Source organism: Homo sapiens, chromosome 8 (genome assembly GCF_000001405.40).
Source record: "Homo sapiens chromosome 8, GRCh38.p14 Primary Assembly".
Lineage (NCBI taxonomy): Eukaryota > Metazoa > Chordata > Mammalia > Primates > Hominidae > Homo > Homo sapiens.
In genome coordinates this window covers 116,747,964-116,775,315 of record NC_000008.11, presented here as the reverse complement: position 1 = coordinate 116,775,315, position 27,352 = coordinate 116,747,964, and the positions used below count along the sequence as shown (strand labels likewise).

The 27,352-nt window shown below is 37.9% G+C and overlaps 2 protein-coding genes across 9 annotated transcripts in view, besides 2 other annotated features; one reads left to right on the top strand and one right to left on the bottom strand.

Annotated features, from left to right (window-relative positions):
- Positions 1-631: 631 nt before the first annotated feature.
- UTP23 (UTP23 small subunit processome component) lies at positions 632-8,792 on the bottom strand. The gene is made up of 3 exons (NM_032334.3): positions 8,525-8,792; positions 4,950-5,124; positions 632-3,860 (listed from the first exon to the last, which is right to left on the bottom strand). Exons 1-3 carry the CDS (start codon positions 8,710-8,712, stop codon positions 3,474-3,476), a joined length of 750 nt encoding a protein of 249 aa, NP_115710.2. The 5' UTR covers positions 8,713-8,792; the 3' UTR covers positions 632-3,473.
- Positions 8,406-8,715: an enhancer, noted in NCBI's record as "active region_27831". NCBI's record gives its function as "activates an Ori minimal core promoter by ATAC-STARR-seq in GM12878 lymphoblastoid cells {active_cell/tissue: GM12878}" and the evidence as "EXISTENCE:reporter gene assay evidence [ECO:0000049][PMID:35858748]".
- Positions 8,726-8,875: an enhancer, noted in NCBI's record as "active region_27830". NCBI's record gives its function as "activates an Ori minimal core promoter by ATAC-STARR-seq in GM12878 lymphoblastoid cells {active_cell/tissue: GM12878}" and the evidence as "EXISTENCE:reporter gene assay evidence [ECO:0000049][PMID:35858748]".
- Positions 8,942-27,352, top strand: part of EIF3H (eukaryotic translation initiation factor 3 subunit H) — a 124,245-nt gene continuing 105,834 nt past the window's right edge. Inside the window, exons 1-4 of one of the 8 annotated variants that reach the window (XM_047422385.1) lie at positions 8,942-9,012; positions 9,659-9,801; positions 11,134-11,197; positions 19,297-19,650. In XM_047422385.1, coding sequence (XP_047278341.1) covers positions 19,323-19,650 — 328 coding nt within the window. In that variant the 5' untranslated portion in view covers positions 8,942-9,012; positions 9,659-9,801; positions 11,134-11,197; positions 19,297-19,322. Of the gene's footprint in view, positions 9,802-11,126; positions 11,198-19,296; positions 19,651-27,352 lie in introns of those variants that run through there. The other 7 variants (XM_047422383.1, XM_047422386.1, XM_047422384.1 and 4 more) reach the window with 7 other exon arrangements.

Below are 27,352 nucleotides of genomic sequence, written 5' to 3'. Positions count from 1 at the left end.
GTTCTGGCCCTTGAACTATTTTAGTCTGGAAATTGGATGAGTCATGACTCTCCCTTCTGGTAGACCTGACGTTATTTCATTTACTTTTTTGTTGGTTTGTTGAGACAGGGTCTTGCTCTGTCGCCCAGGCTGTAGTGCAGTGACATGATCAAGACTCACTACAATGTCAACCTCCCAGGCTCAAGTGATCCTCCCACCTCACCCTCCCATGTAGTTAGGACCACAGGCACATGCCACCACACCTGGCAATTTTTCGATTATTTGTAGAGATGAGATCTCCCTATGTTGCCAAGGCTGGTCTCAAACTCCTGTGCTCAAGTGATCCTACTACCTTGGCCTACCAAAATGTTGGGATTACAGACATAAGCCACCACACTTGGCCTTCATTTTCATTCATTCAACAAATATGTATTGACACATTCTACTCAGTACAAATTCGTGTATTATACATTCTATATTCTTATATGGAATATATATTTTTATAGAATATATTAAATGGAATATATAGAATATATCCTTATATGGAATATATAGACTATATTCCTGTATGGAATATAGGTATGGGGATAGTATTCACAAAACAAAAACAAAAACAAAAAAAAACAAAAACTGAAGTACAAGGAGATGAGACTTTTGTTAAAATATCTTTTAATTTTACCGGCAAAATACATCAATGACTAATATATTCCCGTATGGAATATATTCTTATTGGAATATATTCTTATATAGAATATATAGACTATGTATATATACATATGTGTATATACCTATATACATATATATATCTTGGAGATATAAAACTAATTGGGAATAATGTCATATATATAGATAGTAAGCAAACATTTTTTAAAACATTTTAAAGACTCCAAACTATTCATTTCTATCCACCTATAAAAAACTAGCAATTAAACCTGTCAAATCACAGCCATCTTGCTTTACGCAGATTCAGAAACATGAGATCCTTTTACCTTTGAAACTCTAGTTTCAAAGCTGTTCTAAAGTGACTTGGTTTTAATTTATATACTTGCAGGGATAAGAAGTAGCTGTAGGGCCATAAAAATGTAAAGAATACAGTATCGTGCCCATACACAACTGCAAACACTTATTTTTAAGTGTTCGTAAAAGATAGTGGTCTTCAGAAACACCCCTTTTCAGATTGGCAAACTTTCAGAGTTCAAAAGTGCATGTATTACACTTTTATCCCCAACAAAGCTAGTAGCTACCCTCTAAAGCAGAGGTTAACATTTTCTTTTTCCAAACCACAGAATGGATTATGATCCCATGTGCATACTCCCATGGTTCCCTTCCCCAAGTTGTATGAAAAAATAAAGCAAATAATTCTGAGGTTTTAGGGGTAGTGGTATAGGGATAGTATTCACACACAAAAAAACTGAAGTACAAGGATATGAGACTTTTGTTAAAATATCTTTTAAAGTAATTTTACTGGCAAAATACATAAATGATTAACCAGTTTTAAAATAGTAAACTTATTTATTTATTTATTTTTGAGACGGGGTTTCACTCTCTCACCAGGCTGGAGTGCAGTGGCATGATCTTGGCTCACTGCAACCTCCGCCTCCTGGGTTCAAGCGATTCTCCTGCCTCAGCCTCCCGAGTAGCTGGGACTACAGGCGCACACCACCACACCCAGCTAATTTTTGTATTTTTAGTACAGACAGGGTTTCACCATGTTGGCCAGGATGGTCTTGATCTCTTAATTTTGTGATCTGCCAGCCTCGGCCTCCCAAAGTGCTGGGATTACAGGTGTGAGCCACCATGCCCTGTCAAAATATTAAACTTACTAATACATTGTAATTTTTAGTACTTCTATAATTACTGCTTCATAAAAAAGTGGATTTTTCCAGCTCTCCAGTTCAGATGCTATTAACAGGTAATCAGATAGCACTGACTAAGTAGAAATAGATTAAGAGTAATACCTAAATTTAATGTATTTTAGCATATTGAAATGAGTATCATCAGTGTATATTTCATTTATCACTTTGTCTACACTTTATTAGGTGGCCTTAATGCTTGTCATTGACAAATGTTAACTTTCCTCACAAAACCTACACTATTCACTTTTTTCCAGTATTTTTACCTTCCTTATTAAAAATGTTTCTACCATCAAGAATTTAAAATAGAATCATGACATTGCAATCCAAACACTACCTTGGCTTGCCAGATTAGTCTACGTGTCACTCCTTGGTGTAAAGCTATAATTCCAACTTCCAGCAAAGAAGTATCTCTGAATTCAAATGAGAATGACATTTCTATGGGAATAAATGTGAACTGTCTCACATTTAACCATTAAGAATTTACTCATACGTCATCATGATAACCTAATGTTAGACTGAGAATCACTGCTCTAGTGTGGCTCCAGAAGCTGTCAGTCAGGAACTACTGATACGATTTCACTTGTCCAATAATTTTATACTTCCATCTTGTAGTACAAAAACATTTTAATTTTGGCCTGATAAATGACTAAAACAATTGCCGGGGGAATTCAGAGAGACACGTTTCATTATTCAATTCCTAACTGAATTGACCCTCATTGATCCTCAGACTAATTTAGACACTTTTCAATAACATTCACAGTCAATCTCAAAGAGAATATTATTTTTGAATTCTTGCTATTGAAGTTAACATTTACATCTAAAAGAAAATCATCATCCTTATTGGACAAGTAGAACTCAAACAAACAAACAAAAAAACTCTAGTCATAATAATGAAAATACTGAGTTTCTGATGTACAAAGAGTAAAATATTCATATACTGGAAAAATGGTGCAGTATAAATGGGCAAAATTTCACTCTTTCTAGTAGGAAGTCAATAAATAATTGATGTATCAAAAAGTAGCGGTATAATCATACAATTTGGAAATATAAATTCTTCAACTACTAGAATTGAAAGAGGAAGTTTCTTCTGTCAATGTGAAAGAGGGACTGCCTCTTTTTTTGTCACAAGCCTTTTAGAACTGTAAGATTTTTTAAAACTGTTTGCATATAATGTTTGAAGGTGGGAATGGGACCAGAGAGGCGACAATTTTACCTGGAGAAACAACCTCCCGAAACCATTTAGTAAGTAAAGTGAATTCCATCACACCTACACCCATTCACTGTTTTTATTTTTTTTTTGAGACATGTTCTCACTCTGTTGCCCAGGCTGGAGTGAAGTGACACGAACTGGGCTCACTGCAATCTCTGCCTCCCAGGTTCAAGCGATTCTCATGCCTCAGCCTCCTGAGTAGCTGGAATTACAACTGTGCACCATCATGCCCAGCTAATTTTTGTATTTTAGTAGAGATGGGGTTTTGCCATGCTGGCTAGACTGGTCACTGTTTTTATTTTATAATTAATTTTAGCTAAAGCATATGGGTTCATTTACAAAAATAAGTTTGGTCTTTTATTATAAATACTTCTAGTTGTAAAAAATTCATTTTCACATTTGAATGTCCTTGAAAGTATCCAAAGGATTCATTCTCCTTCTGCATTCTGCTTCTCAGAAAGTACTTTTGGGTTAGATCTGTTCCGAATTCTTTTTCTTTTTCTTTTCTTTTCAGAAGCAGATGATTGTGTGTCCGGTGCCTTTTTCTTTTTCTTCAAACAACTAAGAGGATTGGGACCACTTATTTTCTTGCGCTTTTTTCTTCTACTCTGTTCAGTGTTTTTCACTAAACCCTGTTCCTCTTTGAGATGTTTGATACTTTCTTTCTCATGCACTGAGACAAGCTGACCTGACTCCACTGCTTTTACAAAGGCAATTGTTTTGGGAGAAGGTTTGTCCAAAACCATAGTGTTCTGAATAATAAACATGAGAGGAACTCCAGGCTTCTTTTTTACTTTCACAGACAAATTCTGATCCTATTTAAAAGAAAACAGAATTATTTAGTTCAAATGTCAATTAAGGTACCTTAAATAGGTTTTCAAGAACTGTATTAAAAATAAAAGAGATCACAGATTTTATTTTTCAAATGAGTAAGCCTCACTTATTCATTTGAGTAATGGGGGTATATTTCATGATAAAGGAAGAAAAACATAAAAACTGAGCACAGTGTTAGTAGCAGCTGTGTGAACCGGATTTATCGATACTCTAGAGCCACAAATTACAAACTAATGCAAAGGTAAATGTGTTAGGTGGGTTTCTCCTGTTTCCACTCTAAGATATTCTTTGGAAAGGGTCAAGAATGCTTAAAGAGGTTAAAGGAAAAGAAACTGGGTAGTAATTAGCTACTCAGATTCTAAATTCAGCTCTACCTCTGTGTAATTTTATAATTCTGATAATCAAATCTGTATGTATGTGAACTTAATATCACCCCCAAAAGTCTCTCTTCTCCTGCCTTCAAGAAGATGGGAATATTTTTCTTCAAAAGCCTGAAATATTTCATACTGTTGGTACAGTCTTAAGCAGTATGAACCATGACTTTGAGAAACAGTATGAAATACAGGAACATGAAAAAAATTAACAGAATACAGGCACTTTGCTCTACTTATCTTCCCTTCAAGAACCCTACAACAAATCATCACATCTCATGTCAACAATTTCTTGTTTTAAAAAAAGAAACTTCTGCCAGTGTCCAGCATGATGGCAAACACCTGTAATCCCAGGTACTCAGGAGCTGAGGTGGAAGGATCACTTTAGCCTAGGGGTTCGAGACCAGCCTAGGCAATATAGTGAGACCCTCAAGTCTCAAGAAACAAACAAAAAAAGCAAAACAAAGGAATCATTAAAAAAAACAAAACCCAACCTTCCACTACTAAAAAGAATATCAACATGCTTAAAGTTTTCCTCAAATTCTCAAATGACAATTGCTTTTACTGACTGCAAATTAACTTAGAAGCCTGTATTTTTAAAAGTCTAATCATTCTAACTTTTTTCTGATTATAAATAGCTCCATATGAAGTATAAATAGAAATGGTGAAAATTGCCTGTGGTTTTAAAAGTAGTATCACCTGTGTTGCCACAAAATAATGATGAGGATTTCCCTCTTCAACCATGGAAAGCAGACATTCTGATCCACTCACTGCATTCTTGAAATGAGGACAATTTCGAACTTGGCATTTTTGTGCAATCAGTTTTGCCCCATATAAGTCCTTTCCCAATGTTTCTAGCTCTTTTAACACACATCTGAAAAGAAAAATTATAGCAGATACATTTCACTTGTTTACATAAGGTGTAAAAAACAATAGTCGATTTTTTCTTAAAATAAAACTATGCTGTTACAATCTAAATTTGTCATCTGGTAACCATTTACTTTAAAAGATCACTTGAAAAATGCATTTACCAAGTAGGAAGAACAACAGTTAAAATTAACTGAGCACTTATTATGTTCCATGTAGTATGCAAATTGCTCTTTACATAAATTCTTGATTAATCTCAAAGTAACCCTATGAAGTTAGGTCGCTTACCTTGAAATTATCCTTATTTTAGAGCACCCCATTCTGAGATTTCAAGTAACATGCCAAAGTTCAAGTAACTAGCAAGTGGTACCGAGACTTGCAGTTTGACAACAGCTCCCTTGTCCCAACCATAGCGTAATAAGCTTCTGCTTCAAGTACAAATTGGTATACTTTCAAAACATTTTCAATTCAGAACAGTAAAACTTCTCACATCATCAAGTTGTTTTTAAAAAAACATTTAGTCATAAGAGTTCCTCAACCCTAGCCAGCATTTGCCAGATTCTTTCTTGCTTCATCTCCTTTATCATCTTTCTGTTTCAAGAAGATTTTGCTTGCTTTAGTCATTAGACTTGACCTCTATTTTGAGTACTGCCAGCCTGTGGATGTCCTGCTATCAACTCTTCAAATTCACCATGTCTAAGATCAAACCACTTTCCTGTATCCAAATTTATCCTCCAAGACTTGCTATCTCTTTGAAATTACTATTTTCCCAGACACCCTAGATAGAAATCAGAAATCACATTTGACCTTCCTGCCCTTCTTCACCCATACTCCTATGCCATCAGCTGCTCAACCTATCTATCTCAGTAACGTAGCGTTTCTTTGGAGAACCCTTGGGTTCCTGCCTTTCCTCTCCCAGGTTTAGGCTCCCCTTACTTCTTGATTAAACAACCGCAAAACAGATTCATGCCTTTGCTCTCTTGTTTCTCCAATTTACCCTTCACATCACTGCAGTTATCTTTTCTAAAATAAAACCCAGGCCTGATAACATTCTGCTGTTCTACTTCATCAATTAACTCCACACATCTTCAAACCTGAATATCAGTAAACTCTGTAGAGACCTAACTACTAGTGGCCAAGAAATATATTCCACTGAAAAACGAATGACCTGATTTCTTAAAAACATAAATTGCAAAATTTAAAGGGAGGGGAAACTGCCAAAATTTTTAAAAACTGCCTGGCATGGTGGCTCATGCCTGTAATCCCCATGCTTTGGGGGCCGAGGTGGGTGGATCACCTGCGGTCAGGAGTTCAAGACGAGCCTGGTCAACGTGGTGAAACATTGTCTCTGCTAAAAAATACAAAAATTAGTAGGACGTGGTGTCACACATCTGTAATCTCAGCTACTTGGGAGGCTGATGTAGGGAAATCACTTGAACCCGGGAGGCGGAGGCTGCAGTGAGCCATGATCGCACCACTGCACTCCAGCCTGGGCAATAAAGTGAGACTCCATCTCAAAAATAAATTTTTTTAAAAAACTTAAGTGACATATAAATCAAATGTAATATATGTATTTAGTTTGAATACTGATTTTTAAAAGCCTTCTTTATCTTTTCAAGATACATGCCAAAGAAGTGATAAATAATATGCTCCAAAGCAACCCATCAGTAAGGAGAGGTGAGGGATTCAACAAGATTGGCCATGTTAATAACTGCAAAAGCTGGAGAGAGGTTTCATTATATTATTCTACCTTTGAGTTGTCTGAAAAATTCCAGAGTTAAAATAAATTTGTTAGAAAAATTGCTGTAGAATATAATTTTATGTGGCACTTCTCAACCTTTTTAATATCATAGCACTATATTTAAAATGTTAATATTTCTATGGCACACAGGAGTATATGGACAAATTGCTTGTAGACAAAAGCAATCAATTCAGGAGCAAAGACTACTGAAGGATTTGTTAGACAGCCCTAAAGACTAAGGGGATCAAAACTTTGGGGGTATCTGTAACCCAGCCGAGACCCTGCTTGAGAAATTCTGAACAAATACAGATAGCTGTTCATTAAGTAATCGTATGTGAGGAAAAGGAGACTATTAACACAGTATACACAGAAAAAGCCCATACTTTGTTATGGCTGTAGTTAGAGATGGGGGTTTCCTACGTTGCTCAGGCTCACCTCAAACTCCTAGACTCAGGCAACCCTCCTGTCTCAGCCTCCTGTGTAGCTACTAGGATTACAAGTGTGAGCCACCTTGCCTGGCTTAAAAGTCCATTCTTGTGCTTGTGTGAGTGTGTATAAAGAACTGGATGGATGACACTGCACATGTTAACAGTGATTATTCGTGAGTAGTGGTATTATGAGTCATTTTAATTTTCTTTTTTTGCTTTTTAAAAGTAAATATTCTACAATGAAAAAACTACTAAATTTCTTAATAGTTCTTCATGGCCTAGCCTCAATTTGCCTTCTTCCTAGTTTCACTCCCAAATATATTCTGTGCTGCAACCTCTTTCCCAGGCATTTCATAACTCCATTTCGTGTGAAGAGGTCTCCACAACAAGAAGTGTCATTCTTTTCTGTCATTCAAAATAGTTCTTCCTCTCAGAACTGAACAAGTGAATGGGCTCAAATGTTATCTGAAATCTGTCACAATTCTCTCCTCTCTCCTCTTCATCCCGACAAGCTTCCATCCTAAGTGTTCCCACATTTCAATGAAGTGGGGAAACATCAGACCTAGAGTGAAAACACACACTGCAGACTGACTTATGCACTTTACTGGCCATGAGGGAGCAGTATGTGGCATATAGGAGGTACTTAATAAAGCGAGTTGAATAAACAAATGTGCTTGGGCAGATTCCTTAATCTCAAGTACTGACTTTTTGCCCTGGACATCAAAGATGGTAACTCACAGGTTCACTGTGAGGCTTGCAGAGTTTTGGTTTAAACTAAGAAAAGCTATGCAAATGACAGCAACCATTTGAAGACGGGTACACTTTGGATACCGAAAAATGCTCTAGTACACTATACTCGTTTGAGCTTACAGCAATCTTCTAAGCAGTTATCATCTTTATTTTACAAATGAGGAATCCGAGGCTCAGAGAGGCTAAATAACTTGACAGAAATCACAGAGCTGGTAGAACTGGGATCAAGATTCGAAGTCGGATCTCTCTGCTATAATGTGCTCTCATTCGCCAGGCTAACGACACGTGATATTCACAGGGCACTGTCCAATCTGCCTCTATTATAGGTATTCGCCTGACCACCTTCACCTCTCCACTTAACTGTCAACTCCACGTGGGCGGGGCGTTTTGCACCTCCTGAGCTCGCAATGAAGGTCTGTGAGCAACGGCCTCGCCTCTACAACACCCGACGGACCCTCTGTGCCTCCTCCCCAGCCCCCCGGGCCCACCTTGTGGTGCACAGCTGCGTCTCCCCCATGAGGTAGCGGGGCAGCTGCTCCCGCAGCTGGATGCGGCCCCGCAGCGCCGCCTGACAGAAGGTGCCGTCCAGCAGGATCTGGTACGGCTCGCGGACTCCGAAGTTGTTGCGGAAGAAGCCAAGATGCTTCTTGGCATGTTTCTGCCTTGTGATCTTCATGCCTGGCTTACCGGGACCGAGGCCACCGGACCAGGAAGCATCAGTAAACGCCTCACGCACGCCCCAGTACCCTCAATGCCAGTTTCACCCGGAAATGAAGCGCCTTTGGCCACGGAAGCAAACGCCTCTGTCTTCCGGGCCTGCCCATTGGTTTACGTCATGTCCAGACCAGCGCGCGCTTCCACCGCAGTGCCCGCGCTTAAAGGGGCGGTCCCTTAGGGCGGAACTTGTGCGTACGCTGGAAAACCGCTGGGGTGCGCGATTCCGCACGGGGGCGCACATGCGCAGTCTGGGGCCACGGTAAAAGAAAATTACGAGAATACATTTAGCGTGTTACCTACGTTTTAGAGGCGCGTAGCAAGAGCTTCTCTGAAAGACTGGCAGTATAGTAGTAGTCAGTGATAATATTGAGCCTTAATATGTTCCAGACACTGTCCTAAGTGATTTACCTTACATTATTCCCCTGAATGTTTATAATTCCCAAGTGAAAGAAGGAAATGATATATTGGATAGCTATGAGTGGGGAGGTTTGTACTGGCTGCTTTCCCATAAAGAAATTAAGCACGTTCACGAAGGGCACGTAGTTTGTTAGTGTCTGGAACCCAGTTTTCGTGCCTGAAGTTCAAATGTTCTTGCTACACCACCATAGAAACTAACGTCACTCAGGAACCATTTGTCAGGGCAAAGGGTGCCACCATTTTGCATTTCCTCCTGCCTTAGGACCATCCTAAATCACTCGCATGGAGTGTTTTGGAAGAACTCTCAAGAGCTTCGTTTGCCTAGAGTCAGAATTCCTAACCTTGAGTCCTGGTTTTGCCACAAACCCAAGCCGTTTGATCTTGGGCAACTCCCGAAGAAAGCTGGGTTCAACTTCCTCACTGTCAAACTGGTTGTAGGTCTAGATAAGTTTCAAGTACTCTTTTTATGTGCATGGTCTCTGACATAGGAAGACTACATACTGGGCCAGTAACAGGAAGGCACAAAGCTGACTGGAGGTTTAAAAATTACTTGGTCAATTTGATTAATGAGGAGAATGAATCAGAAAATTTCAAGTTCTCCCGTGGCTAACTGTCGAGTATCCACTTCAAGGTAAAATAATCAAAGAATGGGGAGTATGGAATTTTGCATTTTTGTCCTTGCCTGGAATCTGTCCCAGATCTAGTTTTGGCTAAAGATTGAAAGAACCAGCACAGAAAATGATTTACAACGTGATTGAATGCATTGTTTGCATTTGGGGTTTTATTTCAATATGTAGGTTTATGAAATTGGAATAAGATCTATAATGTTAGCCCTGATCTGAGTCCCAGCACATCACTTAGATGGTTGCTTTCATTTAAACTTAAAATGAATTTAGGAATTGGAAGCCATGAAAACTTTTGCAGGGTTGGATTCAAGGTCTTTGAGTGTAATTGCTCAGTACTTTTCAATTTGAATCCTCTTTTTATCCCTGTATGCCAACTCTCTACTCCAACTATGCGCCCACCACAGACAGAGAAACGAGATACCACCTGAGTCTTGCAAAACAGTTAAAACATTTTTTCTTAAATAGCCTCAGATTTATCTACCAGCTCCTTGGCCACTTTTCAGTACTAAGAAAAATGTGGTGCAGCACTAGGGATTTTAGTCTTATCTTAGTTTTTGTTGTCGTTTTTTAATTTACCAAGCTACAGCACATTTTTTCCCCAAGCTCTATGTATATGACAGTGCCAGTTTGCACCCTATCTTTATTATGAAAACATGAAGATGGTCTATAATGGTGATTATCAAGTTTAAAACAAAGTTTTCGGCCGGGCATGGTGGCTCATGCCTGTAATACCAGAACTTCGGGAGCCCGAGGCGGGAGGATCACTTGAGCCCAGGAGTTGGAAACCAGCCTGGGCAAAATAGGGAGCCCCTGTCTCTGCTAAATTAAAAGAAGACAAAAAGAGAAAAAAATAGAGTTTTCTATTACAGCAGTGTTTCTCAAAACAAGGTCCTGGGATATGCAGAAAAAGCTCTTAGTGTGCTTGTTTAAAATGCCCATTTCTGATTCAGAATAAGTATTGAGGGAGAGGGGTACTATTCAAAGAGGAAGTGACATTTATTACAATCTCCCCAAATCATTATTATGCTCATTAGTGTTCCTGAAGGACCTTTTTTGTAATAAAGCATCGTTTATCCAATAAGATATTTTTATTAATTGGTCCACTTAATACACTTTTGTTTAGATGCCAAATGATCTGTAATGGAAAATCAATATTTAGCCACAACCAAGGCAGAAGCCAAATACTGCCATTATTGAGTGAACCATTTGGATATAAATTTAAATCTGAAATTTTATTTTGAAAGTTATGTCATTATTAAAATATTTAATATTCATTGAAATTTTTTTGACCTTATACTGAAGGAACAATAATTTATAACAGCATTGCTAGTTTTTAGCTTTTTTCTCAGGTCAGTCCACTGGACATTTTCCATGCCAAATAGAAATCCACATTCAGCTGGAGTAAGTAGGCGATTAATTTATTTTTCTTTATTTTTTATGTTCTTCATTTTATTATGTCTGGATCAAATATAGTTTTATAATATTATGCTGTTGTACATGATTTTGAAGTTTTTTTCTTCATGAAATTTTGATGAAGCCAAGTTGACATGAGAATAATTTATTTTTGAAACGTATGACTAATTCCCAAATAGGACTTTCTCATGAAAGATTCATGGCCTAAATGGAATTAAAGAGGTAAACATTAAATATAATTCATAAAGGTTACTTTGTTGAATTTCATCAATGTTAGTATAATTTTGTTTAATTTCGTAAATGTTAGACAATTTAGCTAACATATCTATTGTGGTATTATTCTTCCTTATATTCATATCTAAATATTTATAAACATTTGTTAACATTCATTAGCTCAAAAACAATTTCTACCTAACATTATCTAACATACTGCCTAAATAAATAATTTAGCTAAATAAATATTTTACGACAACTTAGGTAAAGCACTTTGTATTGAGGTCCTATGAGGTTCTTCGCTAAGATCCCCTAGGATAGGCTCCATCATGGAATGCCTTACTGTGAAATTTCAAATATGTCAGAAGGTGTTACAAAGGTCAGATATGGAGGCTGTCACTTTTTAAAATAATCTTTAAAATAAAATAAAATAACAAAAACTTTATGTATTTCAAATTACAAAAATAACATATGCCTCTTAAAACAAGTGGAAGAACATGAAGATAGTAATTTCTTCTCCCCTTGCCCAGATAACACTTTGATGATGTATTATGTATCTCTTGGCAATGTTTCCATATTTACATATTGATATATCATATGCATATATATACAATTTAATATTTATGTAGAGATACTCTGTTATGCGAAATTGAATCATATTTAACAATTCTATACATTTTGCTTTTCTCACCTAACAATCCTGTAGAAATCCCTACACACATCTACCCAAAGTCAATTGGCAGAGTTCTCATTCATTATTTTTAATGGCTGCATGACATTTCTCACAAAACCACCAAATATAACATAATAGATATGACACAGACTATGAATTTTCACCCAATATCTCTTCTCTTCTTTGTAGGAATAGACTCCTGATTTTATTCTGGAGTGTAATGTGCCCAGATAAGCAAATCCATTCCCCAGAATTCTTTTTTTTTCCTTTTCTTTTTGAGACGGAGTCTCGCTCTGTTGCCTATGGTGGAGTGCAGTGGCACAATCTTGGCTCACTGCAGCCTCCACCTCCTGGGTTCAAGCGATTCTCCTGCCTCAGCCTTCTAAGTAGCTGGGATTACAGGCATAGGCCACCATGCCCGGCTAATTTTTGTATATTTAAGTAGGGACCGGGTTTCACTATGCTGGCCAGGCTGGCCAGGCTGGTCTCGAACTCCTGACCTCAAATGGTCCGCTCACCTTGGCCTCCCAAAGTGCTGGGATTACAGGCGTGAGCCACAGCAGCCAGCCCATTCCCCAGCATTCTGTGCAGTTAGGTAGAACCACAGGATTAAGTTCTAGCCAAAGATATGTAAGTGTAAGTGTTGCATGGAATTCTGGGAAGCCGGCTTAAAGGAAGTCAACTTAGCTTGGCAGTGGGCACTTTTGTGTTTTATATCTCCTTCCTTCCTACTCCCTGGAATTTGGATGTGATAGCTTTAACTCCAGCAACCGATTTTAGACCATGAGGTAATTTTGAGAATGGAGGTCATTCACTTAACACTGGCAAAGCAGATAAGAGGAGCTTGGATCGCTCGCAACTGTGAAAGTGTCTTTCCAAACATAGACTTTCTACTTCTGGATTTCTTTTACATGAGAAGAAAAATAAACTTCTACCTTGGTTTTAAAAAAAAGTTATCATAAGTTTATTTTATATGTAGCCAAACTCAATGCTAAATGATAGAGGAAGTTAAAACTACTTGCCAGAATTAGATAATTTTATATGAACAAATATGTTTGATGAGACCTTGATGTTAGCTGATGTCAGTCAATACAATTGCCCTTCCTTTGAACAGGTTCAAAATACTAGTTTATATGTTTCCTCTAAAAGGTGGAAAGTCTTCCAAGTTAAATAAACCAAATCTTTCTTTACATACTATAGAAACTGTCTTGACATTTGTTTCTCTTGAAAGTATAAACAATTTGATTTGAATTTGGTGTGTCAGTGGGATATATCTCCTGTTGAGAAAAGTTAGTTAAATATGAAGAGCCCCAGCTGCTTGGGTAAGGAACATCAAGGAAATGTTAGTGTCATCCAGTTGTCAGTTAAAGAAAGCAAGCGGAATTCATGTATATAGGTCCTGCCAGTATCAGTGAGCTCTTCTTTCAGGTCAAATGACAAAGGAGAAGCTGTCTCTTAGAAAAAGATTTCAAGAGATTTCTGTTTCTCGAGGATATTTCTAAACTAGACAGTAAACAGGAAGTGCCCATCATCAGTTATCAGATGACTATTGTCGGATCACTATAAAATTAGACTAGCAAGTTTGCTTTCTGTAATAATTTATTTGGATGAAATCATACTTAGAACAAATACTACCATGTTAGGTAAATTGAAAGAAATTTATTATTTCTCTAACAGATGTATGTATGTATGTATGTATTTATTTTTTTGAGACAGAGTCTCACTCTGTTGCCCAGGCTGGAGTGCAGTGGTGCAATCTCGCCTCACTGCAACCTCTGCCTCCCGGGTTCACGCGATTCTCTTGCCTCAGCCTCCTGAGTAGCTGGGATTACAGGTGCCCACCACCACGCCTGGCTGATTTTTGTATTTTTAGTAGAAACAGGTTTTCACCATGTTGTCCAGGCTGGTCTCAAACTCCTGACCTCAAGAGATCTGCCCACCTTGGCCTCCTAAAGTGCTGGGATTACAGGTGTGAGCCACCTCACCCAGCCCGTCTCTAACAGATTTAAATAGTGCTCTCCATTGGCATTTTACTACAAAATGTTTAATGGCATTAATTTAAATGGTGAAAATAAAAACTGGTAGAGCAGAGCAAAAAGTTAAGAAATAGTACCAGTGGCAAACATGTTTTACTGTAATGCAAAGCAAACTGCCATTTGAAATTTAATTATTATTCAAACTGATAGAGAAGTTCACACTAAATGGGTCTTTCATTTTAATCTATCAAAGCACTTTAGAAGATTAATGAATCTTTATAAAATTACTCTAGGTAACCAAATATTATTACTGTTACTTAAAGAAGTTTAAAGATTGGAAATTATGTCAGATTACAGCTTTAAAAGGATTTTCTAAAAAACACTATTTATATTTAACAAAATGTTGAAGCCAACTCTTTCACTCATGGTTTTGTATATATTTTTAAGCAGCAGGAGGACTCAGGGCAGAAACTGAACTCCTGGTGGCAAGAAATTAAACATGCTTTCAATAATCCAGTAGAATATTATTTCAAAGTCTAGTATTTATAATTGAATTACACCAATATGAAGTATTAATTACATGATATTATACAAAATAAAAGTCACTCTTACAATCCTCTCAAATTTTTTTTTACTGCAAGATTACTTTGTTTAAATATTAGTTGGTAAGTGATGAATCAAAATACTGGGATGAAAAGTCCAATGTCATTTTAAAAATTATTATTATTTTAGCAAACATACAGAAAATGACCACATGCTAATTCTTATGTGTAAATGAATATTATTTTCTTTTTATTGGCTCCAACTTTATACTCTCTGTAGTTTCTTTCATAACACTGAACAAATTACCTAGCTCTTCAAAGTATAACCTCCCATAGTCTTATTTCACATTTGTAGACAAAAGGAGGCCTATGACTTAAATTGATCTCAATGAGGCTAATGAGCAAGATCTTTTTTCTATGACTGGGGGAGAGGTTTCCTTAAAATAAACAAAACAAAAAGTGTATTGTTTCAATTGCTACTGTGAGCTTGAGATTATAGTGGTAGCCAGTCTTTGGTCAGAACCCAAACATGGCAGGAGACAGAGTCCAGAGAGTCATGAAGTAATGAAACTGTAGTCTTTATGCTGCTTCACTTGGAGTATGCCCTTCTCTAGACATCCAGATCCATGATAGCATATATTTCCCTCTTGTTTAAAATAATTTAAATTGGCAGGCTGAGCATGGTGGCTCGCACCCATAATCCTAGCCCTTTGGGAAACCAAGGTAGGAGGATCACTTGAGCCCAGGAGTTCGAGGCCAGCCTGAGCAACATTGTGGAACTGGTTATCTACAAAAAGTACAAAAATTATTCAAGTGTGGTGCTGTGTGCCTGGAGTCCCAGCTACTCGAGAGGCTGAGGTGGGAAGTTCACCTGAGCCTGGGGAGGTTGAGGCTGCTGTGAGCTGAGATCGTGCCATTACACTCCAGCCTGGGCAACAAAGTAAGACACGGCAAGCATGTGCGTGTGTGCGCGCGCACACGCACACACACACATACACAAACACACCCCACACATCTTTTGGCTCATCTGAATATAGAACGAGCCAGGTGAACCCCGAAATGTATACTCTCTGTTGTAAGTTAGCACTCTCTATCGTAATAAAATGACATTTAACAACATTTAGGGGCTCATCTTTGGTGTCCTGACTCATTTTACTGCATTGAAAGGGGTTTAAGTGTCTTAGCCAAGTGAGGGAAAGCAGCTCCAATACTGGGTAGTTCTGAGGCATGGAATGGTCACAGCCTGACTTTTACTGGGCAGTGTTTTTCTAGTGGGTAGAGTTATTATGCCACAAAAGCTGAACTAGTTAGACTGTTTATTTTTTATTTGCTCACTCAGGTGTGACAGGCTATCCTCTGCTTCCTGTCCCCAGGCAGTAATCACACATGGGCAGCGCCCACAGCTTAGTTTGGAAGGCCCTCATCAGCCTCTCTCTTTTTGCCTGTAACTAAATTAGAAATATTTCCAGCAATTGGAGAAGTATGCTAAAAACATTAGTTTCTGTGACAAAGAGAATGAAGAACATCTTGTTGCGAATACAAGATAAATTTATTTCATACAATAAATAAATATCCACAATGAAATTAATACCCACAATATTGAACTTCCTTATGGGAGGCCAGAAAGACAACTTAATGGTTGTGACCAACCATCTTTAAGTGATTAAATACATTCAGTTTCTGCTACAATCTGTTATTTACTTTCTTATGCATACTTCAGGTTTATTTTGTTCTTTTTTGTCTAGGATGTTAGAGAGCTTAGATGATGGATTTGACACATTTCCTTTTTCTAATGTAGGCAGTTAGCTATAAACTTCTTTCTCAGCACTGATGTATCTGTGCCCCACACATTTTAATATTTTATATTTTCATATTCATCTAGTTCAATTTGTGTGTATGTTTTAAAATTTTCCTGGAGACTTCCTCTTTGATCTGTGGATTAATATTATTAGAAGTATGTTGTTTAGTTTCCAAATATTCAGAAAATTTTGTTATCCTATGTTTTAATTCCTTCTTTAAATCTATTGTGATTTGAGAACATACTATGAATAATTTCAACTCAGAAATTATTTAATTTGTTGAGGTTTAAACTTGCTGAGGTTTGTTTATGGTTCAGGATATGACCTGTATATTCCATGGACACTTCAAAAAAGTGTGTATTTTCTACTTTGAGTGTTCCATAAATGCTGATTTGATCCTGTTGGTTGATGGTATTGTTGAGTTCCTTATATCCTATTGATTTTCTCCATAGTTGTTTTATCCATTGTTGAGAGAGGGAGTTGACATCTCCAACTATAATTATGGATTTGCCCATTTTTTCCTTTCAGCTCTATGAGATTTTTCTTCACATAGGTTCTGATTTCTGTTGGGGCATACACATTGAGAATTCTCATGTGTTCTTTGTGATTGATCATTTTATCATTATTTGATGTCTCCTTCTGTCTCTGATTATTTTCTTTTCTCTGAATTTTGCCTTATTTGATATTAATATAGCCACTCCTGCTTTCTTTTGATTAGTGGTTACATGATATATTTTTCCATCGTTTTACTTTCTTTGTACTTATATTACTATGTTTGAAGTGAGTTTCTTATAGATAGCCTATGGATAGATCATGTTTTTATCCGTTTATTCATTCATCCAATTGTTTTCCTTTAATTGGTATATTTAAAACATTTATATTGGCTAGGTGCGGTGGCTCACGCCTATAATCCCAGCACTTTGGGAAGCTGAGGCGGGCGGATCACCTGAGGTGAGGCGTTCGAAACCAGCCTGGCCAACATGGCAAAACCCCGTCTTTACTAAAAATACAAAAATTAGCTGGACAGGGTGGTGGGTGCCTGAAATCCTAGCTACTCAAGAGGCTGAGGCGAGAGAATCGCTTGAACCTGGGAGGCGGAGGTTGCAGTGAGCCAAGATCACACCATTGCACTCCAGCCTGGGTGACACAGGGAGACTCTGTCTCAAAAAAAAAAAAAAAATTAACATAACTATTAATATATTTGGGCTTAAGATTGCCATTTAAGTTATTTTTTATTCATTCTCTCTGTTTTCATTTCTCTCTTTTCTTTTTCTTCATTCTTCTGGGTTATTTGAACATTTTAAATAATATATTGATTTATTTACATTATTTTGAGTGTATCTCTTTGTAAAGCTTGGATGAGGTCACCATAAAAGAGAACAAAAATAGGGGAAAGAAGATGTTCAAAGTCTAAATTTGGTGCTCTTCAATATTTAAAGGTTGAAAAGGGGTAGAAAAATCAGCAATGGGAACTGAGAATAAAGGAGGTAGCCAGTGAGATAGGAATGAAATTAGGAACCGAAGTGACGGAAATGTCAATGCTTCTGGGCCCTTTCTTGTCAAGGTGATCATATTGATTTCTAATTCAAATTCTTCATATTCTCTGGCCCTCTCTCTCTCTCTCTCTCAGTTGTACCTCTTACATCTAGTGTATTTCATAAAGAGGGCCCACATGAACTGTCTCAGGACAGATGAAAATAACCCATTGTAGTATGTTTAGCACACGTGGCTGCAAAACCTTAGTTGGATATTTTCAAGGACAAAAAAATTGCAAAATATTTTAAACTTTACTTTGTAGTTTTACTGCTATGAGGATATTGGTATTGTAATTCTGAAACAAAACTGTGTTATGTATGTTGTAGGATAAAGCAATAAATAAATGTATTATTGTTTATAAGTAGCCTCACTGTTTTCTAATGCTCATCATTCCAGCTACCTAGTGGTAGGCAAAAACCTCCAGTCTGGTTCTTCCATGCGAGATTTTCTTTCTTCTTTTTGTGAATGTTCTGTTACCAATTTCTAGTGTAATTTTACCAGGATCAACCTTTAAAACCTCTAAATTTGTGGACTTTCTGTGTGACCTAGGGTTTGGTGTATTTTAATAAATATTTCATATACACTTGAAATGAGTGGATATTAACTTTTCATTTTGTAGTGTTAAGAATTTGTAACATGTAACTATTTCTCCTCCCAGATTGAAATATAACACCAGATCCCAATGACAAAACAACAAAAAACTTCAGGGCAGGATATGCCGTTTATTGATTTAATTATTTCATCAGTTCTGTATACATATTTATTGAATAAACATTTCAAAAATAAGGGATAGGAAAAAAGTCATTTGGAAGTAGAAAAGAATGTTTCAAATTACTTATCTAAAATGGCTTCTTACAGTTGTCATATATTCTTTTAAGGACTTGAGATGTGTATTTCAGAGTAATGTGTCATAAATCAGCGTGATTTTTAGAAAATATATTCTGTATCATCCTTCAACAATACCTCAGATAACTTCTTTGGTACTTTACTCAGGTAAATCTCTACATGAAGCTAATAGCAAAAGGCTACTATTTCTGGTAATTCTGATAAAAGTTTCTATGTCTTAATTTCTATATAATCTAAGTGGTTACAAGCAGCTATCTAAAATTACGTAAAACAAGCTGTGCAATACTGGCTCATCGCTAATTAACAGAATAATGTCGGACAAATCACTTATCAGTTTTCTAATATGCATAATGCGAGTTAGTACAGCACTTCATTGCAAGATCAGAAATGAAAGCATTTTTACATAAGAGACACTACAGAAATAATGCGAACTGTAATGCTATTATGACGGTTTGCCTAGTGGTGAATGATTAAACATTTAAAAAGTTTACTTTCATCTTAGATCATTCCATCGGAAAGAGGTCGAAAATGTACAGTAGGCATGCACAAAGGATACCGCCTGGAAAGAAGGTAAAACTGGAAAACAGGAGGGAGGCGGGGCCCAATTTTGGCTTCTCCTTCCGTCTCCGCCCCTCGAACGCCGGCCTGCGAGTGACGTCACGCGAGACTTGTACTTCCGCTTCCGGTAACTCACGTTTCTCTTTCTTCCTGTCTGCTTGGAAAGATGGCGTCCCGCAAGGAAGGTACCGGCTCTACTGCCACCTCTTCCAGCTCCACCGCCGGCGCAGCAGGGAAAGGCAAAGGCAAAGGCGGCTCGGGAGATTCAGCCGTGAAGCAAGTGCAGATAGATGGCCTTGTGAGTGCTGTTCTTTTTCCTCTGGCCCACGTGGGGAGCGCAGTTCCCAGCCCCGTCCCACCAGACGTACTTTCTAGCATTCTCCCCCTTGGGCTTGGTGTGGCTGGGCCAAAGTTTTTCCCTAGTACGTTTCTCTTTCATCTTCACTTTTTGTTCAGGAGCTTCGACAGCCTTCTCTTGTCTTCTAACGGGACAGTTGGGGCTTCAGGAAGGGGACTGAGAATAGGGGTGTGAGTGACAGGTTCCTGGGGTCTTGTTTTGAGATGACCGGTGGGGGGATTTGAAGAAAGACTCCTGGAGACCAGCAGCTAACGAAGGTGTCGAGAAGGATTTAGGGACCTAGTAGGGCTCTGGGAAGGAGAGAGTAAGGAAACTCCACTGATTCCCTGCTGGGATCTGACATCTATAACGTTCCAAGTGGAGATGTACTTTGTAGCCACTCTTTTGAGCCTGTACTTCGGCGCTTTATCTGAAACCGTATAATTTAGAATACTCTTTTGTAGTGTTCATTCTGAAAAACATAAAAGAATATCAAAGAGAAGGGCCTTAAATGTATTTAGTAGTTAAGGTTCATGAACTAGGACATCCAAGGAAATTCTTGATAAGGAAATGGACTTAGCTGGGAAGAGGAAAATCTAGAATGAGAAATTTTATTTCTGTTGTTTCGAAGCAAAATGCATTTATATGACGTTCTAGTTTTAAAAGTATCCTTCCTGCCCTCTTTTTAAAAAGCATCCTCTCTTCCTTTGATTTTTTTAAAGGTTATTTCCTATTAATGCAGATCTTAGATATTTGTAATAAGAAAGTACTTTTAAATTCATGTGAAAATTGTAATTGCAAGCAGGTATTTTTAAGTGGAAACTGTTGATAATTTAAACGCAGCATATAATTGAATCTGTTGAACTGACTTAGTTAAACTGGATACAAGAGTGTAGCCTGGTGGTTAAGAGCTCATTCAGTCTTCTAGGCTCTTCCACTTAACCAGCTCTGTGACTTTAAGGCAAGTTAGCCTTTCCAGGCTTTGCTTTCCTCATCTGTCAAGTGGGAATGAGAAGTATCTGTATCATAGAGTTGTTTGGATTAAATGAAAAAGTTTATGTGGTGACCTGTAGTACAGTGTAATCACTTAATGTTAATTATGATTATTATTATGAGTTTAATGTCTGTGGTTAGCAGAGTTTGAAAGATGCAGGCAAGAGATTAACTTTGGAATGTTTTGTTCTAAATGTCACTTGTGTAATACTTTGAAAATGCAGGCCGGGCGTGGTGGCTCACGGCTGTAATCCCAGCACTTTGGGAGGCCGAGGCGGGCGGATCAGGAGGTCAGGAGTTCGAGACCAGCCTGACCAACATGGTGAAACCCCGTCTCTACTAAAAACACAAAATTAGCCGGGCATGTTGGCACGCGCCTGTAATCTCAGCTACTCAGGAGGCTGAGGCGGGAGAATCGCTTGAACCTGGGAGGCGGAGGTTGCAGTGAGCCGAGATTGTGCCACTGCACTCCAGCCTGGGCAATAGAGCGAGCCTCCGTCCAAAAAAAAAAAAGAAAATGGAGTACTATCTGGCCTGTGTACTGGCACTGTGGCTTTCCCTGGCTCATGGGAGGCAGATGTGTGTTCAGGAATAAATGACGTATCTTTAGAGATTGCAAATCTCTAAAGTTAGTGGGTGGACTTAGATTACACTTGTTAAAATAAGTACCACTTATGCACTTGGGAAATGTTTATTTCTTAGAAACATATTTCTTATTAAATTTGCTATGTCACAACAGCACTCTTTGAATCACTTAGTTTCCAGAGTTGAAAAAGGCAACAGGTCGGTGGCATAAATCTATTTGGAGATCATTTATTTAGCAAATATTTTAGGACATTCTGTTAAGTGCCAAATACTATCTAACACAGGGCAGTGGTAAAAGCACTTCAGTAACAATGTCCTGGCAGCTTTAAGAGGGATTGTTGAATTAAACAGAGACCTGCAGGTGGAGATGGACTGGATCACTTCAGGTTTCACAAGGGTGCTTAGTCAAGAGACTGGTTCTCAATTTTTTGGACTCAGAAATTATTATTTTTTATCAGCTCTCTCAGAATTGATTAATGCTAAGGAACCAATTAGTCCTTCTCACAGGAGATTGGTTTATATACATGTAAATGTTGATTTACTCATTTACTGTGGAAGACATACCTTTTCAGTGGTGAAAACGCTCATATCTACCACCAAAAAGACCCTTTTGATTACCAAAGCACCTTGGAAATCGAATAAAAAAAATCAGAAGCTTACCAGTGACTCCAAAATCAATCATAATAAGAGCAGGTAAAGGATTATTTTACTTGAGAGTTATTTATATCCAGATTCTTGACGAACTTAGTGAATTATCTCTTATTCACGGTGGTGGGTACCTCTGTGCTTTTGTTCTCCATCGGTTGGGTAGATATTAACAAAATAAGTTCCTAACAACTTTCCCCCTTTTTGGACATCTGCCTTTCTGTCATTTATATGGTTTTAGGCAGCTAGATTATATTGCAGTTGCAAGGTTCTTTTATCTTGGTTGCTCATTTTTTAATGGTGAATGTTTTCCAGTTACCATAAATCATGTAGGGAACATTTAAATGGTATGTTCTTTATGCGTTTTACATTGTTAATACAGGGAATACTGGTTACTCTAAATTTTATTAATGGATTATTGCAGATGGAGTAACCAAGAATCATCCATCTTGAATACTATCTCCACATGGATGATAGGTATACCCACGTTTGCCCAGATACAATTTAAAAAAAACTCCTTCCTTAAACTCTTCTCTTCTCTCTCTCTTTTTTCTTTTCTTTTCTCTCTCTCTTTCCTTCCTTCCTTCCTTCCTTCCTTCCTTCCTTCCCTCCCTCCCTCCCTCCCTCCCTCCCTCCCTCCCTCCCTCCCTCTTTCTTTCTTTCTTTCTCTTCTTTCTTTCTTTCTTTCTTTCTTTCTTTCTTTCTTTCTTTCTTTCTTTCTTTCTTTCTTTCTTTCTTCATTTCTGTCTTGATGAACAGTGTTACTCTTAGGAAAGCAATATTACATACTAGCCAAGAGAATCTTGACGACAGACTTGGATTCAGATCCTTATTCCAGCAGTAAGCATGACCTTGGGGAAGTTATTAAATTTTCTAGGCCTCAGGTGTATCCTTTGTAAAATGGGGATGATGATAAAGTAGTAACTCATAAGGGTTGTGAGAATGAAATTCCGAGGTATTTAAAGTGTTTAGTATAGTACCTGTGTCATCGTAAACACTCAGATTACTGTGTCTTTACCACTCTCATCCTTATTAATGTTTCTCAAATCATTTCGAATGCTAACTTTGCTAATGTAGATTGGAATTGTAGAAAGAGCACTTCAGTGCTCCTGGTAATCAGGAGACATGCATTCCAGTCTGCATCCACCAGTAACTAACAACACTTCTATGATTGTTTTACTCCAAAGGTACATTTTCTCATCCACAAAATGATTGCCACTATCCCTATCAATTTTCATGGTTTATGGTTTCTTTCTTTTGCTTTCATACCTGAATCCTGAGGGTTCTTATTGGTGTGTGACCCCAGTCAATCACTATCCTTCCTTTTAGGCCACTTACTCCTTTCCTTTTATGTTTCTTCTCCATCTGTGCATATTGGAGTGCCTCATGGTTTAGGTTTTGGCTTTTCTTTTAGTCTCTGCTTGACATAGGTAGTGTAACGAAGTTGATAAAAGTACATGCTCTGGAGCCAGACTGCTTGGATTTGAATCCCAGCTCTGAAATTTGCTGCATGACATTGGGCAAGTCTTTGTGCCTCATTTTCCTCATCTGAATTGTTTTGAGACTTTAAATGGATTGAATATATGTCAATAACTAGAACAATGTCTGGGACAGAATAAGTCACCATTTAAGCTTTGCTGCTGCTTTATTTGCAGTAATTATAGTAGTATTCTTTAAGGTATTCTTATCTGTGCTCACGGCTTTAAATATTTATATTCTAATAAGTCCTAGATTTATATTTCTGCCAGTAATGGCTCTTGAATGCCTCTTTTGAATACCCATTGCCTGTTTGACGTCACTATTTGGATATCTCATAGGCATCTCATATTTAACATGTACAAAATAGAATTATAGACTTGTTCTTCTCCTTACTTTCCATCACAGCACCCTATATTTCTAGAATTTTCCACAGCCTGTAACTATCTTGTTTGTTTTCTTCTTTGTTTTCCTCATCAGAATGTATGCTACTGAGGGCAGGGACTATGCTTTTTCACCTGTTTTATCTCCAGTGCTGAACCTGTTAATTCACAAAGTAGGATAAATGAATGAGTATGTATTCCATTTTATTATTTATACTAATTTATGTTCTAATATCTTATGCAGGTTATTTTAATATTGTTTTCCCCTGCCTTCTTCAGTCTACCATTCATACTTTTATTTTATTTTATTTTATTTTATTTTATTTTTTTTTTGAGACGGAGTCTCGCTCTGTCGCCCAGGCTGGAGTGCAGTGGCGCAATCTCGGCTCACTGCAAGCTCCGCCTCCCGGGTTCACGCCATTCTCCTGCCTCAGCCTCCCAAGTAGCTGGGACTACAGGCGCCTGCCACTACGCCCGGCTAATTTTTTGTATTTTTAGTAGAGACGGGGTTTCACCGTTTTAGCCGGGATGGTCTCGATCTCCTGACCTCGTGATCCGCCCGCCTCGGCCTCCCAAAGTGCTGGGATTACAGGCGTGAGCCACCGTGCCCGGCCTCATACTTTTATTAAAACGTTTATTTAACGTGAACATTCAGATTTTAACTTCTTTCCTTAGATGTTTTCAGTGACTTTCCATTGAATTGAAGGACCAAAATGTTGTCCTTGTTTCTTGCATTTATGTTCAGGTTTATTTCCTTTCTTTCCAAGCTTTGTAGGAACTGTACATTCCAGCCCCTCAGACTACTTAGTTTTTTCTTTAATAAGTCATGCTAAAGGCCAGGTGTGGTGGCTCACGCCTGTAATCCCAGCACTTTGGGAGGCCAAGGCAGGCAGATCACACGAGGTCAGGAGATCAAGACCGTCCTGGCTAACATGGTGAAACCCTGTCTCTACTAAAAATACAAAAAATTAGTCGGGCGTGGTGGCGGGTGCCTGTAGTCCCAGCTACTCAGGAGGCTGAGGCAGGGGAATGGCATGAACCGGGGAGGCGGAGCTTGCAGTGAGCCGAGATTGCACCACTGCACTCCAGATTGGGCGACAGAGCGAGACTCCGTCTCAGAAAAAAAAAAAAAAAAAAAAAAGTCATGCTAAAGACAGACCTAGAGTCACATCCTTATTCAAAGCAGTAAGCATGACCTTGCTTTTGTTCATGAAGTTCTTTCTCTTTGAAATTGTTCTCTTTCATCATCACATATTGAATAAAAAATGTGACTTAATCGACTTACTCTGTTTTTTTAAAAATTCTCCATATAGTTTAACTTGAATCTGTATACTCCAGATGTATTCTGTTCTTCATTCATTTAACAAATATTTATTGATTGCCGACCACATGCCAGGTCTAGCCCTGCTACATGCTGGGGTATATTGCAGTAACCTATATAAGATATTATATAGGTGAGCAAGGTAGAACCCAGTCCCGACTCTCATGACCATTCTCAGTCATATATAGATGTAGATGAACCCAGAGATTAATCTCATCCTATGTTTAGCCTGATGTTTTAACACATTTGTTCCTTCCTGGCACATTGATAGTGGCCAAGACCAATTTTTCTTGTATTTTTGAACCCTTCCTTTCCTACCTTTAGACCTGTTTCATCACTTCCTCTGTATCTGTAATGTAGCAGTCCCTCCACAGGGCTTGTTTTCCAAAGAAAAGTAAGCCCTCCACAGGGCTTGTTTTCCAAAGAAAAGTATCATTTGGAGGAGCAAAGTTATAAGCCTACCTAAGCATGTCGTAAAGCTGTTCAAAAATAACTCAGAGCTAGTCTTGTGGATGGAAATGTAGTGCCTGAGTCACATTCTGCTTAAAGTTGTAACAAATACAGATGAGTTAAAAGAAAAAAAACAAAAATAAAGAAAGAATGGGTCTTCATTCTGTCAGGTGGTCTCATTGTTCCTAGACAAGATCAAGCTAATTCTTCCCGTTAAACTTTTCATGTTGAACCCACTTTGTTCCCTAGAACATTTGAATTTTACCTTTCTTATGTTCATTAGACCTTGCTATTCAAAGTATGATCCATGTCCAGTAAGATGAGCAATGTTGGCTACACTTGAGTTTGTTAGAAATGCAGACATACGTATCACAGAATCTCAGGCCCCTCTCCTGACCTACACAATCAGGTGATTTATAGCATTTTACTGTTTGAGAAGAAGCTTGCTCTCTTCCTTTCTCTGAGCTTTTTAATGACAGCTTGTATCATTCACCTTGGTATGTGATCCATACTGTTAGTGATTTACTGTTAATATATTTTCCCCTTCTCATTGAGATGATAACCCTTTTGAAGGCTGAAGTATAAAACATTTGTCTCCTCCATAATTCAGTGCTTGAAACCCATTGCTATTGAAATTTCTTACCTTTTAAATTTTGTTTTCCCCTTTAAGTTATCTTATTAGATACCTTATTCCCCTGGTTTTGTAAGTAAGGTAGAGTATGTTATTAATAAATAGAAAAGTATGAGTTACATATACAGTCAGCTCTCTATATCTTTGGATTCTGAATCCAGCAATCTCACATCCATGGATTCAACCAACCATGGATCGAAAATACTAGGAAAAAAACAACTAAAAATACAAATAAAAACCAATACAGTATAATAATTATTTACATAGCATTTACATTGTATTAAATGTTATATGCAATCTAGGGATGATATATAGGAAGATGTGCCTAGGTTATATGCAATAACTAATGCTACACCATTTTATATAAAGGACTTGAGCATCTGCGAATTTTGGTATCCAGTTTGGTCCTTGTTTCTGTCTGAAACTCTTTTTACTTGTTGCTTATTTCTTCACACTAGAATATCAGCTTCCTGAAAGTGGCACCCATGTCAGGTTTGTTCACTACAGTATTTCTAAGGGTCTAGAACAGTACCTCGTGTATAGAAGGCACTCAGATGTTGTGAATGAATGAATATACTCCTGTTGTGTGGAAATTTTCTTGAAAATCAATCATGAAGAAACTGGGTTAGTAAATGCTTGAGTGTTGGTGAGAAAAGAGCACACAGTTGAGGATAAGCTAGTTAGCTTTCTGGGCTTGTTCATATTTCTCCATCTTTTTATTTGTTGATTTCTTATCTGTTTGAAAAATCACTAATATTAATTGGACACCTATTATAAGACCCTGTACAGGGATGTTTGGTTAAATTTTGTGTTGTTTGGTTAAATTTTTTGTTAAATTTTAGATGTTGTGATCCTCACAACAGCTTTGGGGATAAATGTTATCACTACCTTACCTACCTGATGGTTATTCAAATCTAATGGAAAAATTTTGGTGGAAGTACTTTGTTTTTTATTTTGTTTTGTTTTGTTTTTGTTTTTTTTTTTGTTTTTGAGACAGAGTTTTGCTCTTGTTGCCCAGGCTGGAGTGCAATGGCATGATCTTGGCCCACTGCAACCTCTGCCTCCCAGGTTCAAGTGGATCTTGGCTCACTGCAACCTCCGCCTCCCAGGTTCAAGCGATTCTCGTGTCTCAGCCTCCCAAGTAGCTGGGATTACAGGCATGCGCCACCACGCCTGGCT

Bases quoted from the DNA above. Each gene is read 5' to 3' on its own strand.
- UTP23 (NM_032334.3), bottom strand. From the start codon at position 8,712: ATGAAGATCACAAGGCAGAAACATGCCAAGAAGCATCTTGGCTTCTTC. The intron at 5,125-8,524 runs GTGGGCCCGGGG...TTTTCTTTTCAG, and splicing joins ACGCAGCTGTGCACCACAAG to ATGTGTGTTAAAAGAGCTAG. The intron at 3,861-4,949 runs GTGATACTACTT...TCTTTTAAATAG, and splicing joins ATTATTTTGTGGCAACACAG to GATCAGAATTTGTCTGTGAA.